The sequence below is a fragment of the Homo sapiens genome, chromosome 1, assembly GCF_000001405.40.
Source record: "Homo sapiens chromosome 1, GRCh38.p14 Primary Assembly".
Classification (NCBI taxonomy): domain Eukaryota; kingdom Metazoa; phylum Chordata; class Mammalia; order Primates; family Hominidae; genus Homo; species Homo sapiens.
This window is the reverse complement of record NC_000001.11, coordinates 9790450-9805417: the sequence shown is the minus strand read 5'-3', so window position 1 is coordinate 9805417 and position 14968 is coordinate 9790450. Positions and strand designations below refer to the sequence as shown.

General features: G+C 46.4%; 1 protein-coding gene across 4 annotated transcripts in view, besides 1 other annotated feature; it reads left to right on the top strand.

Moving 5' to 3' along the window:
- Nucleotides 1–14968, top strand: part of CLSTN1 (calsyntenin 1) — a 95601-nt gene that overhangs the window by 19109 nt on the left and 61524 nt on the right. The window lies entirely within an intron of this gene.
- Nucleotides 12693–12987: a silencer, noted in NCBI's record as "tiled region #8161; HepG2 Repressive non-DNase unmatched - State 10:DNaseD, and K562 Repressive non-DNase unmatched - State 20:ReprD". NCBI's record gives its function as "represses a minimal TATA promoter and a strong SV40 promoter by Sharpr-MPRA in HepG2 and K562 cells {active_cell/tissue: HepG2 | K562}" and the evidence as "EXISTENCE:reporter gene assay evidence [ECO:0000049][PMID:27701403]".

Genomic DNA, 14968 nt, shown 5'->3' with positions numbered 1-14968 from the left:
GAGCTTCACACAGATATAGTTGGGAAAGAGAGAGCTTTGGGGATTCCTCCCTGCCCCCGCAGGAGTCCTTAGATCACGCTCTGATAACTGCTGCTCTAGGGCAGTCATTGATGTCAAGATACAACTAGGGGACATGTCACCAGTAATTTGCTTCTAAATAATAGTTGAAGTAACAAAGCAAAGCTTACTAGTGATTTACTTGCTTAAAAACGAAATGAGAGTTAGTTCAACTTTTTCCTGGAATTATGTCTCTTCATAGTTTACATTGCCCCTTGCTTTCTTTTCTTTTTTTTCTTTTTGAGAGGAGTCTTGCTCTGTCTCCCAGGCTGGAGTACTATGGCGCGATCTCGGCTCACTGCAACCTCTGCTTCCCAGGTTCAAGTGATTCTCCTGCCTCACTCCCGAGTAGCTGGGATTACAGGCATGCACTAGCACGCCCAGCTAAGTTTTGTATTTTTAGTAGAGACGGGGTTTCACTGTGTTAGCTAGGCTGTTCTGGAACTCCTGACCTCGTGATCTCCTGCTTCGGCCTCCCAAAGTGCTGGGATTACAGGCATAAGCCACTGTGCCCGGCCTTTCTTTTTTTAAGACAGGGTCTCACTCCATCGCCCAGGCTGTAATGCAGTGGCATAAACTCGGCTCACTGCAGCCTTGACTTTCCGAACTCAGGTGATCCTTTCACTTCAGCTTCCTGAATAGCTGGGACTACATGCCTGCCTGAAATTTTGTATTTTTTGTAGAGACGGGATTTCACTGTGTTGCCCAGGCTGGTCTCAAAATCCTGGGCTCAAGTGATCCGCCCACCTTGGCCTCCTAAAGTGCTGGGATGATTGGTGTGAGCCACAGCTCCTGCCACTCCTTGCTTTCTTAAGTGGAGAAGCTGGGTGGAGTTCATTATTGAACTCCATATGGCCTGGAATTGCCCATAACATAGAGCACCTGCTGCTGCTCCCAGGGAGGCCCTCACAGGTGGACAGGTGGTGTCCATTCCCATGTGCAGTCAGGATCTGCGTGCTTGTGGATTATTACCCTCGCCTTTTTTTTTTTTTTTTTTTTGAGATGGAGTCTCTCTCTGTCGCCAGGCTGGAGTGCAGTGGCATGATCTCAGCTCACTGCAACTTCTGCCTCCCGGGTTCATGCCATTCTCCTGCCTCAGCCTCCTGAGTAGCTGGGACTACAGGCGCCCGCCACCACGCCCGGCTAATTTTTTTGTATTTTTAGTAGAGACGAGGTTTCACCATGTTGGCCAGGCTGGCCTCGATCTCTTGACCTCGTGATCCGCCCGCCTCAGCCTCCCAAAGTGCTGGGATTACAGGCGTGAGCCACCGTACCCGGCCCCTCGCCTTTAATAAGGGAAAGGCAAGAATAGGTACAAAAATATAAGTAAACGTTAAAATCAGGTTTATTTGGGCTTATTCTTTGGTAGTGTATCCTTTCACCATATTAATATTTTCCTGAGGTCTAGAAAAAGATCAAGGCTTTAACAAAAGTTCAGTAGTTGAAAAAGATTACCACTTTCGTTTTTCCTCACAAGATGGCCTTTTTGAGACCTTTAAATGGCTGATGTCATTGTAAAACACTTTTTAAAAAAAATTTAATTTTATTTAATTTTTTTTAAGATGGAGTCTTGCTCTGTTGCCCAGGCTGGAGTGCAGTGGTGTGATCTTGCTCACTGCAGCCTTCACCTCCTGGGTTCAAGCAATTCTTGTGCCTCGGCCTCCCAAGTAGCTGGGATTACAGGCATATACCACCACACCCAGCTAATTTTTGTATTTTTAGTAGAGACGGGATTTCACCATGTTGGCCAGACTGGTCTCGAACTCCTGACTTCAAGTTATCTGCCCACATTGGCCTCCCAAAGTGCTGGGATTGCAGGCGTGAGCCACTGCGCCCGGCCGTAAAACATTTTTATAACTACCACGATAAAAGACCTTTGTGCTACTGTTTGCTTTATTTTTATGAAAAATCTTTTCAGCTTTTCTCAGAATCTGGTTTTACCCATGGAATATCTGTGCGTGGGCCTGTACCTGGGCTGTCTGCCTTGATGGGAGAGGTTGAGAGCTGCTGTTTTGGGTGGTTTGTTGGTTTGTTTTGGTATTATCCTTGATTACCAATGATCTGGTTTTTGCCTAGACTATATCCCATAAATCCAGTTTCCCCTTGAGAGGTTATCTAATCCTTTCCTCCCTTTTATGATAGAATCCTTTGCTTTTAGAATCTGGCAGCGTGCCTTCCCACTTAAGTAAGCTCTGTTTGCTTGTATATTATTTTTGCATTAGAATGTTAAGTACTTTTAGCTGGGCGTGGTGGCTTATGCCTGTAATCCCAGCACTTTGGGAGGCTGAGGCAGGAGGATCACTTGAGCCAGGAGTTTGAGACCAGCCTGGACAACATAGCGAAACCTTGTCTCTACAAAAAATAAAAAATTACCTAAGTGTGGTGGCAGGTGCCTGTGGCCCCAGTTACTTGAGATGCTTAGGTGGGAGGATCATTTGAGCCCTGGAGCTTGAGGCTGCAGTGAGCCCTGATTGTGTCACTGCACTCCAGCCTGGGCGACAAAGTGAGACTCTGTCTCAAAAAAAAAAAAAAAAAAATCTAAGAAAATCAGCTCCTTAATTATATGGCTAGAATTCTAGAAATGGAAGGAGCTTGAGAAATCATTTAGCCCAGGCAGCCCATTTTACCAAAGAGGAAACAAGTGAAGTTGCCATTGTCGTCAGTGTGATATTTTCGTAGTTCAGAATAGGGAAAGTAGAATGAACAGTGGGATCTGGTCTGGGGTGTCTTTAACCCTGTTTCCCTATAATAGAAAATATTCAGAAAGCATACATTTGGGTGAGTCTGTACCTCTCTCATGTACAGTTGAGTCAGGAAAGTAGATTATAAAATTAGAGTGGAGTTTAAAAAATCTGGATGGATAGTACATCCTGTTAACAAAGTCACATTATTTGAAAATTTGTAGCACTTTTTAATGTGAACATCTCAGAAATTTGCACACTCTGCTGAAATCACAGTTGCAGAGTTGACAAGAGCTTTAGAAATGGTCTGGCTGGGGCAGCTTTTGACGTAGGATCCTCTTCACAGTGTGGCCTGATATAATTTAGCCAGGCCCTGCTGGAATTCTTCTAATCAGAGAGCATCTTTCTATTTTGGAGGGAAGCATTCCTTGTCAGAAAGTCCTGGGTCTCAGTTCTGCCTAAATGTTGTCACTGCAAGAGCATAGTGGAGCAGTTATGAGCATGAACTCTGAACTAAACTGTTGAGGTTCAGACCCCAAGTCTGCGGCTCATTAGCTCTGTAATCTTGGACATCTTACTTAATCTCTACATGCCTCAGTTTCTTCATCTGTAAAATGGGGATGATGATAATAATACCCCTCTCACAGAGTGGGTGGGGGGATTGAACCAATTTTGTAAAGTACTTAGAACACTATAGTAAACATGTGTTTGCTGTTTTTTTGCTTGCTTTGTTGAGGGTTTTTGCATCTGTGTTCATGAGAGATATTGGTGTGTAGTTTTCTTGTAACATCTTTGTCTGGTTTTGATAGAATAATGGTGGCCGAGGCCGGGCGTGGTGGCTCACGCCTGTAATCCCAGCACTTTGGGAAGCAGAGGTGGGCGGATCACCTGAGCTCCGGAGTTCGAGATCAGCCTGACCAACATGGAGAAACCGCATCTCTACTAAAAACACAGAAAGTTAGCCGGGCATGGTGGTGCATGCCTGTAATCCCAGCTACTCGGGAGGCTGAGGCAGGAGAATCACTTGAACCCAGAAGGCAGAGGTTGCAGTGAGCCGAGATCGTGCCACTGCGCTCCAGCCTGGGCAACAAGAGCGAAACTCTGTCTCAACAAAAACAAACGAACAATAATGGTGACCTCACAGAATGAGTTAGGAAGTATTCCCTTTGCTTCTGTAGAGAATTGGTGTAATTTCTTCCTTAAATGTTTGGTACAATTCACCAGTGAACCCATCTGGGTCTGGTACTTTTCGTTTTGGAAGGTTATTAATTGTTGATTTAGTTTCTCTAAGAGATACAGGTCTATTTAGATTGTTTGCTTTTTCTTGGGTGAGTTTTGGCAGATTGTATCTTCCAGGGAATTGATAAATTTCATCTAGGTTATCAAATTTTTAGGCATAGAGTTGTTCATAATATTTCTTATTTATTTACTTTTGAGATGGAGTTTCGCTCTTGTTTCCCAGGCTGGAGTGCAATGGCACGATCTCAGCTTACTGCAACCTCCGCCGCCTGGGTCAAGTGATTCTCCTGCCTCAGCCTCCCAAGTAGCTGGGATTACAGGTGCTTGCCACCATGCCCAGCTAATTTTGTATTTTTAGTAGAGTTGGGGTTTCTCCATGTTGGTCAGGGTGGTCTCGAACTCCTGATCTCAGGTGATCCATCTGCCTCGGCCTCCCAAAGTGCTGGGATTACAGGTGTGAGCCACCGCACCCAGCCTCTTATTTATTTATTTATTTATTTTTGAGACTGAGTCTCACTCTGTTGTCTAGGCTGGAGTGCAATGGTGCAATCTCGGCTCACTGCAGCCTCCGCCTCCCAGGTTCCAGCTATTCTCCTACCTCAGCCTCCTGAATAGCTGGGATTACAGGAGCATGCCACCACACTCCTGGCCAATTTTTTTTGTATTTTTTTTTCTTATTTATTTATTTTATTTTATTTTTATTTTTTTTTTGAGATGGAATCTCACTCTGTCGCCCAGGCTGGAGTGCAGTGGCACGATCATGGCTCACTGCAAGGTCCGCTTCCTGGGTTCACGTCATTCTCCTGCCTCAGCCTCCTGAGTAGCTGGGACTACAGGCGCCTGCCACCACACCCAGCTAATTTTTTTTTTTTTTTTTTTTTTTCTAGTGGAGACGGGGTTTCACTGTATTAGCCAGGATGGTCTTGATCTCCTGACCTCGTGATCCTCCTGTCTCGGCCTCCCAAAGTTCTGGGATTACAGGCGTGAACCACCATGCCCAGCCCCTTTATGTATCTTTTTAATCCATGGGGTCTTATAGCGGTGTTCCTGTTTTCATTTCTGATACTAGGAATTTGTGTCTTCTCTCTTTTTTTTTCATAGTTAGCCTGGCTAGAGGCTTATCAGTTTTATTGATCTTTTCAAAAAACCAGCTTTTGGTTTTGTTGGTTTTCTCTATTGAGTTCCTGTTTTCAGTTTTATTGATTTTTGTTTCAGTTTTTATTTCATTTTCTTCTGCTCTCTTTGTATTTAATCTGCTGATCTTTTTCTAGTTTCCTAAGGTTGAAGCTTATATGATTGATTTTAGCTCTTTCTTTTTTTCTAATATATGTATTAAATGCTTAAGTTTTCCACTAAGCACTGCTTTCACTACATCCCACACATTTTGATAAATTATATTTTCTTTTTCATTTAGTTCAAAACATTTTAAAACTCCTCGATATTTCTTTGTTGATCCACGTGTTACATTTATGTGTGGTTTTTTGTTTGTTTGTTTATTTTGAGACGGAGTCTTGCTCTGTCACCCAGGCTAGAGTGCAGTGGCACGATCTTGGCTCACTGCAACCTCCGCCTCCCGGGTTCAAATGATTCTCCTGTCTCAGCCTCCCAAGCAGCTAGGACTACAGGCACCCACCAGCACGCCCAGCTAATTTTTGTATTTTTAGTAGAGACGGGTTTTCACCATGTTGGCCAGGATGGTCTGGATCTCTTGACCTCATGATCTGCCTGCCTCGGCCTCTCAAAGTGATGGGATTACAGGCGTGAGTCACCGCGCCTGGCATTTTTTTTTTGTTTTTTTGGGAGATGGAGTCTTGCTCTGTTGCCCAGGCTGGAGTGCAGTGGCGCGATATCGGCTCACTGCATAGTCTGCCTCCCGGGTTCACACCATTCTCCTGCCTCAGCCTCCCAAGTAGCTGGGACTACAGGCGCCCGCCACCATGCCCAGCTAATTTTTTGTATTTTTAGTAGAGACGGGGTTTCACCGTGTTAGCCAGGATGGTCTCGATCTCCTGACTTCGTGATCCACCCGCCTCTGCCTCCCAAAGTGCTGAGATTATAGGCGTGAGCCACCGCGCCCGGCTCCCTGGAATTTTTAACTCTCAGAGTTCTGCACATTGAACTCCAGCAGTTTGTCGATTACAGCTTAGGTTTTCCTACCCTGGCACCGGTTCCCATGGAGGTTTCTGCTCTGTAAATTGTGATTCCTTGTGTATTTGCCTGTGTCTCCAATTTTTAAAATTTATGTATTTTTTTCTTTTTTGAGACAGGGTCTTGCTCTGTCACCCAGGCTGGAGTTCAGTGGCACGATCAGGGCTCACTGGATCCTCGACCTCCTGGGCTCAAGTGGTCCTCCCATCTCTGCTCCCTGAGTAGCTGGGACCATGGGCGTGCACCACTATGTCTGGCTAATTTATTTTGATTTAGTAAGAGATGAGGTCTCACTTTGTTGCCAGAATGGGCTCAAACTCCTGGGCTCAAGTGATCCTCCTGCCCCGCCCTCCCAAAGTGTGCTGGGATTACAGGTGCGAGCCATCACACGCAGCCTGTCTCCAATTTTGGGGGGCAGCAATTGCCTTGTGATCTCACTTCTCTTAGGGATCTAAGAATAGTTCTTGATTTTTCAGTTTCTTTGGCTTTTTTACTTGTTATTAGGACAGATTAGCAACTTCTAATCTCCTAACATGCTGTACTGGAAACTGGAAGCCCCAGCATCACATTTTAAAATGTACAATCCAGTGGCATTTAGTACATTCAGCATTGTGCAACTACCACCTCTATCTAGTTCCAAAATGTTTTCGTCATCCCAAAAGAAAACCTCATGCCCATTAAACAGGCATTTGCTACTCCCTTCTGCCCCCAGCACTTGGCAACCACTAATCGGCTTTCTGTCTCTATGGATTTACTTATTTTGGCTATTTCATATAAGTGGGGGAATCATGTGATACGTGACCTTTTATGTCTGGTTTCTTTCACTTAGCTGAATGTTCTGAGTTTCATAATTTTTTGAGGCTCGTACATGTTGTGGATATCAGTACTTCATTCCTTTTATGGTTCCTTGTTTGGATAGACTGCATTTCGTCTGTCCGTTCATCTGTTGATGCAGGTTTTAGGATGGTTTTGGCTGTTGGCTGTTGTGAATAGTGCTGCTGTGATGATTCATTCATAAGTATTTGAGTACCTGTTTTCAGTTCTTTTGGATGTATACCTGGGAGTGGAATATCTGGGTCATATAGTTTTTCTTTTCTTTCTTTTTCCCTCCCCTCCCCCTCCCTCTTCCCCTCCCCCTCCCTCTTCCCCTCTTCCCCTCTTCCCCTCTCTCCCTCTCTCCCTCTCTCTTTCTTTGTTGACAGAGTCTCGCTCCCTCTGTTGCCCAGGCTGGAGTGCAGTGGCACCATCTCGGCTCACTGCAACCTCCACCTCCCAGGTTAAAGCAATTCTCCTGCCTCAGCCTCCCGAGTAGCTGGGATTACAGGCATGTACCCCCACGCCTGGCTAATTTTTGGATTTTTAGTAAAGATGAGGTTTCACCATGTTGGCCAGGCTGGCCTCGAACTCCTGGTCGCAAGTGATCTGCCCGCCTCATACAGTATTTCTATTTTTAATCGATTGAGGAACCGCCAATCAGTAGCTGCAATATTTTAACATTCCTGCCAGGAAAGGGAATTTACCTTGTCCTCCCCTCTCTCTCTCCGTATCAGCTTCTTTCATTTCCTAGCCAAGCCTCCTCTGTTCCTTCAGCTGTTTTTCATGTCACTTTGTTTCCAAAATCTCCACCAGCCAGCCTTCTCTTCTCTTCTTTTGAGACAGGGTCTTGCTTTGTCACCCAGACTGGGGTGCAGTAGCATAATCATAGCTCACTGCAACCTCCAACTCCTGGGCTCACATGATCCTCCCGCCTGAGCCTCCCAAGTAGATGAGACTACAGACATGCACCACCACGCCAGGCTAATTTTAAAAAAATTTATTTTGTAGAGATTGAGGTCTCATTAATGTTGACCAGGTTGGTCTTGAACTACTGGCTTAAGTGATTGTCCCCACCTTAGCCTCCAAAGGGATAGAATTACAGGCATGAGCCACCATGGCCAGCCTGATTGATTTTCTTTCTACCCTCTCCCTCCCCCACTTCCCCTTCCTCTCCCCACCTTTTCTTTCTTTTGGACAGGGTCTCACTGCATTGCCCAGTCAGGACTCAGACTCTTGGGTGGGCTCAAGGGTCCTCTTGCCTGAGCCTCCTGAGTCCAGCTTGATTTCTTTCTCTTTGGATGCCTTTCAGATGGGGCCAAGGTTTTAACAGAATTCCTGACTCAAGGACAGCCTTGGAGTAGCATGGGGCTAGCATTCCCTTGTCTAAGTGTCTCAGCAGCCTTGTCACACTGCATTTTATTTAACTCCAACCCCCAAGTACCCCTACCACGCACCAGTGTTTAACCATGCTTCTCATCTTCAAGCTTGATGTTTTGTTCTAGTGTGAGTCTCTGCATTTATCTCTGTTGCATTTCATCTTGCCGTATCTGACTCTCCACTCTGCTCCGTCAAGCAGTTTTGAATCCTGACTCCACATTCCATCTGTTCATTCTGGCTTCGTGTTATTTTCAAATTTGATGTAATGGTTGAACAGAGCCAACCAAGTATGATGCCTTTGAAAGGTTACCAGAGGCCGTTGCAGGTTTCCATGGGTTTATTATTCAGTGACCTTTTAGGTGGTCATTAAACCTGTTGTAAATAATTCACCCATCTTTCTTTTCTTTCTTTTTTTTGAGGCGGAGTCTCGCTCTGTCGCCCAGGCTGGAGTGCAGTGGCGTGATCTTGGCTCACTGCAAGCTCCGCCTCTCAGGTTCACGCCATTCTCCTGCCTCAGCCTCCTGAGTTGCTGGGACTACAGGCGCCTGCCACCACGTCCGGCTAATTTTTTTTTTTTTTTGTATGTTTAGTAGAGACGGGGTTTCATGTGTTAGCCAGGATGGTCTCGATTTCCTGACCTCGTGATCCACCCGCTTCGGCCTCCCAAAGTGCTGGGATTACAGGCGTGAGCCACCGCGCCTGGCCCACCCATCTTTATTTTCATCCAGTTTCCATTTCACCATCTTGTCCTCAGTCACCAGGAAGTTAGGAGATGCCAGGTCAAATGCCTGTTTTTTTTTTTTTGTTTTGTTTTGTTTTTTGTTTTTTTTTTTGTTTTTGGAGACAGTCTTGCCCTGTCGCCCAGGCTGGAGTGCGGTGGCATGATCTCCGCTCACTGCAACCTCTGCCTCCTAGGTTCAAGCAGTTCTCCTGCTTCAGCCCCCCGAGTAGCTGGGATTACAGGCGCCCACCACCACGCCCAGCTAATTTTTCTGTGTTTAGTAGAGACAGGGTTTCACCATGTTGGCCAGGCTGGTCTCAAACTCCTGACTTCAAGTGATCCGGCCACCTTGGCCTCCCAAAGTGCTGTTAGAGGTGTCAGCCACCATGCCCAGCCTCAGATTTTTTTTTTTTTTTTGGAGGTGGGGACAGGGTCTTGTTCTGTTGCTCACGCTGGAGTGCAGTAGTGTGATCATCGCTCACTGCAGCCTCAGCCTCCTGGGCTCAAGCAGTTCTCCTGCCTCAGCCTCCCAAGTAGCCAGGACTATAGGCATGCACCACCATGCTTGGCTAATTTTAAATTTTTCTGTAGATACAGGGTCTCACCATGTTGCCCAGGCTGGTCTCTAACTCCTGGCCTCAAGTGATCCTCCTGCATTGGCCTCCCCAAAGTGCTGGGATTGCAGGCATGAGCCACCGCACCCAGCCAGTGTCCTTTATTTCCTTAAAATAACTTAAGGAAAGTACATTTTTTTCTTTTTCCTTCATGTCTTCCCCAATCTTGTACTGTAGTTCTCTTATGCTTCTATTGGTTCTGCCCTTTTTAATAAAAATAAACATGCTTCTTCAGTGACTCAGTGGCAGAATAAGATTGAGCGGTTTTGTTTTCTGTTGCTCTAAAAATGTTAGTATTTGGCCGGGCACGGTGGCTTATGCCTATAATCCCAGCACTTTGGGAGGCTGAGGCGGGCAGATCACCTGAGGTTGGGAGTTTCAGACCATCCTGACCAACATGGAGAAACCCCGTCTCTACTAAAAATACAAAAATTAGCCGGGCGTGGTGGCGCATGCCTGTAATCCCAGCTACTCAGGAGGCTGAGGCAGGAGAATCGATTGAACCCAGGAGGCAGAGGTTGCAGTGAGCCGAGATCGGGCCACTGTACTCCAGCCTGGGCGACAAGAACGAAACTCCACCTCAAAAAAAAAAAAAAAGTTAATATTTGTTTTATAAATGATGTAAGAATTCTATGTAAAAGCATTACTCTTGCTATTGTTGGTATTTTAGGAATGTAAATAATAAAAGCAAAAAAAATAGGGGTGCAAAGACAGAATCTTGATTTTTTTTCTTTTTTTTTTTTCTGATTAGCCTTCATGGATTTATTAGACAATCCTAGTCAGTTGGTGACAGTATTTTGGGTAACAGCTGTTAAGAACTTGGCATTGATAATGAATGCCATCAGGCCTTGAATACTGTGTGGACTGTTTTGAACTATATATGATAAAGTTTTCCATTGTATGTGAAGGTCAGGAGACAAAAAACACATACAGAACTTGGAAATTACCCCTGGTCTGTTATGTTTTGATTAAGGATGGTGCCCTGTCCTATTTTTAATTCAAGACAAATGTGATCATGATAAAGAAGAAAGAAAAGGCCAGACCTAGCCCATATTTTCTGATAACATTGCAAAATAGGAAATTGAAGGAAATCATGGCACGTCCCTGGTTGTGTAGCTAGATTCCTGCCTGGCTTGGATCGTAAGAGTTAATTGAAGGCCAGACGTGGTGGTTCATGCCTGTAATCTCAGCACTTTCGGAGGCTGAGGCAGGTAGATCATTTGAGGCCAGGAGTTCGAGACCAGCATGGCCAACATGACGAAACCCTGTCTCTACTAAAAATACAAAAATTAGCCAGGCATGGTGAAGCACGCCTGTGATCTCAGCTACTTGGGAGGTTGAGGCAGGAGAACTGCTTGAGCCTGGGAGGAGGAGGTTGCAGTGAGCTGAGATTGCGTGACTGCACTCCAGCCTGGACGACAGAGGGAGACTCAATCTCAAACAACATTTAATTGGTGAATGAAAATATACGGTCAACAGTTGGAAATGTTCTGATAGTGGTTTGGCATTGGATTTGTTCCCCTGGTGCTGTGTATTTAATTCTCTGGACAAGGTATAAACTGAAGAAAGCTCAGGGCTCTGTTCTGAAAACGTGTTCCTCCACCAGCCTGCAAAGTGCCTGCGTTACTTACCCTGTTTTTATATTAAATTGCTGAGGTTCTTTACAAAGTGTGAGTGCCTTAAGTCATTACCGGTCATTAGCATCCCCCTCCAATTAGTTTATTGAACTAAATGGCCAGTGTTAGTGGGGCTGTGAAGAAACGGGAAGTTGGAGCGGGAGAGTTCTAACCCAATGCGAATGAAGTGAGCACTTATGGGGGAAGGTGTCTGTTGGAAACCCTGGCCCACCAGGGGAAGCTCTAGGAAGCTGGTAGCAGCATGGACAGAAAGGCAGTGGGTACCACTGAAGATATTCCCAACTTTGCACTGTTTTGCCTGTGGGAAATTCTGTACGTTACATTTCAGAGATTTTGAGATGATTTTGCTTCAGGGAGGCTCATGCTAAAACACAAGATAGCAGCAGTGGCTGTAACTGGTGCTGCTTGCAAGTTAATCTCTTAGAAGAGCAAAGCTGAAGACCCCACCCGAGGCGGGACATACAGAGGGCAAAAAGCGTCTTGGAGTCAAAGTGGAAATTGCCCAGGAAGGCTGATAACCTCCCTTCTTTGCTTACAAGAAAGCTTTCGAATGGCCTCCATTCATGAACCTTCTGTGAGGCCATTGTTCTCTGTTGGGGAGTGCATCAAATTGTTCCACAGCAAACCTGTCAGCGCCAGGTCAGATTGATTGTCTCAGATTCGAAGCGGGGGCCCAGCGGGTGCAGTTTAACAGGGTTGTCTAGAAAATCTTGCCTGGCGCCCCATTACGGCCCACAGCTGCCGTGGATGGATGGGGGCGTGCTCTTTACTATCTGAGGTTTGATCTCCCCTTGTCTGTTAGGATCCGTATTTTAGGCTGGGCGCAGTGGCTCACGCCTGTAATCCCAACACTTTGGGAGGCTGAGACTGGTGGATCACCTGACGTCAGGAGTTCGAGACCAGCCTGGCAAACATGGTGAAACCCCGTCTCTACTAAAAATACAAAAATTAGCTGGGTGTGGTGGCGCGTGCTTATAGTCCCAGCTGCTAGGGAGGCTGAGGCAGGAGAATCGCTTGAATCTGGAAGGTGGAGGTTGCAGTGAGCTGAGATCACACCACTGCACTCCAGCCTGGGCGGACAGATTGAGACTCTGTCTCAAAAGAAAAAAAAAGGGATCTGCGTTTTAATCGAGATTTCTCCAGTTTCCCACCTTTGCTTACTCTAGAGATAAATGTTGGAATGAGAGAGAGGCTGTCCACCTCTGTCTCTTCCCCTGCCCCCTTCTCACTCCGTTTCACAAAACTTAGCTCTGGAATAGGACTACTCAACATTCACACATGAACAGCTGCTCCTGAGGGTACGGAGCTTGAGAAACACTAGCAGAAACTTGACCCCACCCCTGCACCCATCCACCTTGGTCCAAGACCCCAAAGCTCCTTGGGGATTTTTACCTGCAAACGTGCTCTTGTTTCAGGGACCCATCTTCACGCATCCTCTCTGGGGTATTCTGGGATTCAGGCCAAGGGCATGCTGTGTTTCCAGGGATACCGTAGCCAAGGGCATGGTTCCCGACACCCGACACCCGTGGCTGGAGTCTGTGTCCCTGGTAATTAATACCCTACAGGATGGCTGTAAGATGACTCTCCCAAGGTTACAGCCCAATCATGAGGGAGACCCCTTATTTCCTAAGTGTTTTAAGAGTGGCCCTTCCTGCGCATCTCACCTGTCAGCTTTGGAACTTCTGGAAGGATTGTGCTAAAGCCTTTGCTGCTGGAAATCTCACTGCTGTAGGTGGACATGAGGCTCTCTGCTGGAGAGGCTGCCACATCACACCTGTGACATTCAAGAGAGACTGCCAGCCATGGCATATGAGAGTTGTTTAGGAAGCTCAGGATGGAAGTCAGTGTGGAATACCGGCATTGCTGTTACACTTGCTGCTTATGTTTTGGGTTGGTGCCTGGCCTGTTTTTTTTGTTGTTGTTGTTGTTGTTGTTTTTCCCCTTGAAGTGGAGTCTCGCTGTCGCCTAAGCTGGAGTGCAGTGGCACGACCGATCTCAGCTCACTGCAACCTCCACCTCGCAGGTTCAAATGATTCTCCTGCCCCAGCCTCCTGAGTAGCAAATGATTCTCCTGCCCCAGCCTCCCGAGTAGCTGGGATTACAGGCACCCGCCACCATGCCCAGCTAATTTTTGTATTTTTAGTAGAGACATGATTTCCCCATGTTGGCCAGACTGGTCTGGAACTCCTGACCTCAGGTGATCGACCCGCCTCAGCCTCCCAAAGTGTTGGGATTACAAGCATGAGCCACTGGGCCCGGCCAGAAATCTTAACATTAAACTAAAAAGGATTTGGGGCCGCATGTGGTGGCTCACACCTGTAATCCCAGCACTTTGGGAGGCCGAGGCAGGCGGATCACTTAAGGTCAGGAGTTCAAGACCAGCAGCTTGGCCAACATGCTGAAACTCCATCTCTACTAAAAATACAAAAATTAGTGGGCATGGTGGTGGGCACCTGTAATCCCAACTTCTCAGGAGGCTGAGGCAGGAGAATTGTTTGAACCCAGAAGGCGGAGGTTGCAGTGAGCTGAGGCTGTGCCACTGCGCTTCAGCCTGGGTGGCAGAGCGAGACTCCATCTCAAAAAAAAAGGATTTGGGCCGGGCATGGTGGCTCACTCCTGTAATCCCAGCTCTTTGGGAGGCCAAGGCAGGGGGATTGCTTGAGCCCAGAAGTTCGAGACCAGCCTGGGCAATACAGTGAGACCGCCTTCTCTACAAAAAAATTTTAAAACTAGCTGGACATGGTGGCTCCCCAGCTACTCGGGAGGCTGAGGCAGAAGGATTTCTGGAGTCCAGGAGTTGGAGGCTGCAGCCTGGGCAACAGAGCAAAAAGCCTGTGATCTGAAAAAGTTGTGAACTTTGCTTTAGGAAGTCCTGCCACTTTAACTACAAACCTTCAAATTCTTTGTCTTTCAGCTTTAGGGTTGCTATATTTAAGCCAGGTTTAACAGGAGAAACAATTCCATCTTTTTTTTTTTTTTTTTTTTTGAGATAGAGTCTCACTCTGTTGCCCAGGCTGGAGTGCAGTGGTGCGATCTCGGCTCACTGCAAGTTCTGCCTCCTCCCGCCTCCCGGGTTCACGCCATTCTCCTGCCTCGGCCTCCCGAGTAGCTGGGACTACAGGCGCCCACCACCACGCCTGGCTAATTTTTGTATTTTTAGTAGAGACGGGGTTTCACCTTGTTAGCCAGGATGATCTCGATCTCCTGACCTCATGATCCACTCACCTTGGCCTCCCAAAGTGCTGGGATTACAGGCGTGAGCCGCCGCGCCCGGCCCTGTTTTTTTTTTAATCCTAATTTTTAAAAGCACATTTGCGATCGTCACACCCTGATTTTTCAAAAATAGCCTTGTGATTGTCGCTGTCTCTTGCCTTTCATATAGCTGAATCCGCTAGATTAGCCTCAGTGGTCAGCAAAAGGGAGTCCACGGCGCCTGACCTGTGCTCCGAAATATGCGTAATATTTGATGCTGAGTATACAAAACTGGATATATTCATGCCAGTAGAATTTTCAGAATTTTCAAAAGAAAAGTGAATTGAAATATACTGACAAAATATTTTAATGGCGATCTCAACAAAACATTTAAAAAGTCCTCAACAAAAATCAAATCAAACAATGTGCAAGAAGAATGATACACCATGACCGTATAGGATCTAGTCCACATACATAAGACTGTTT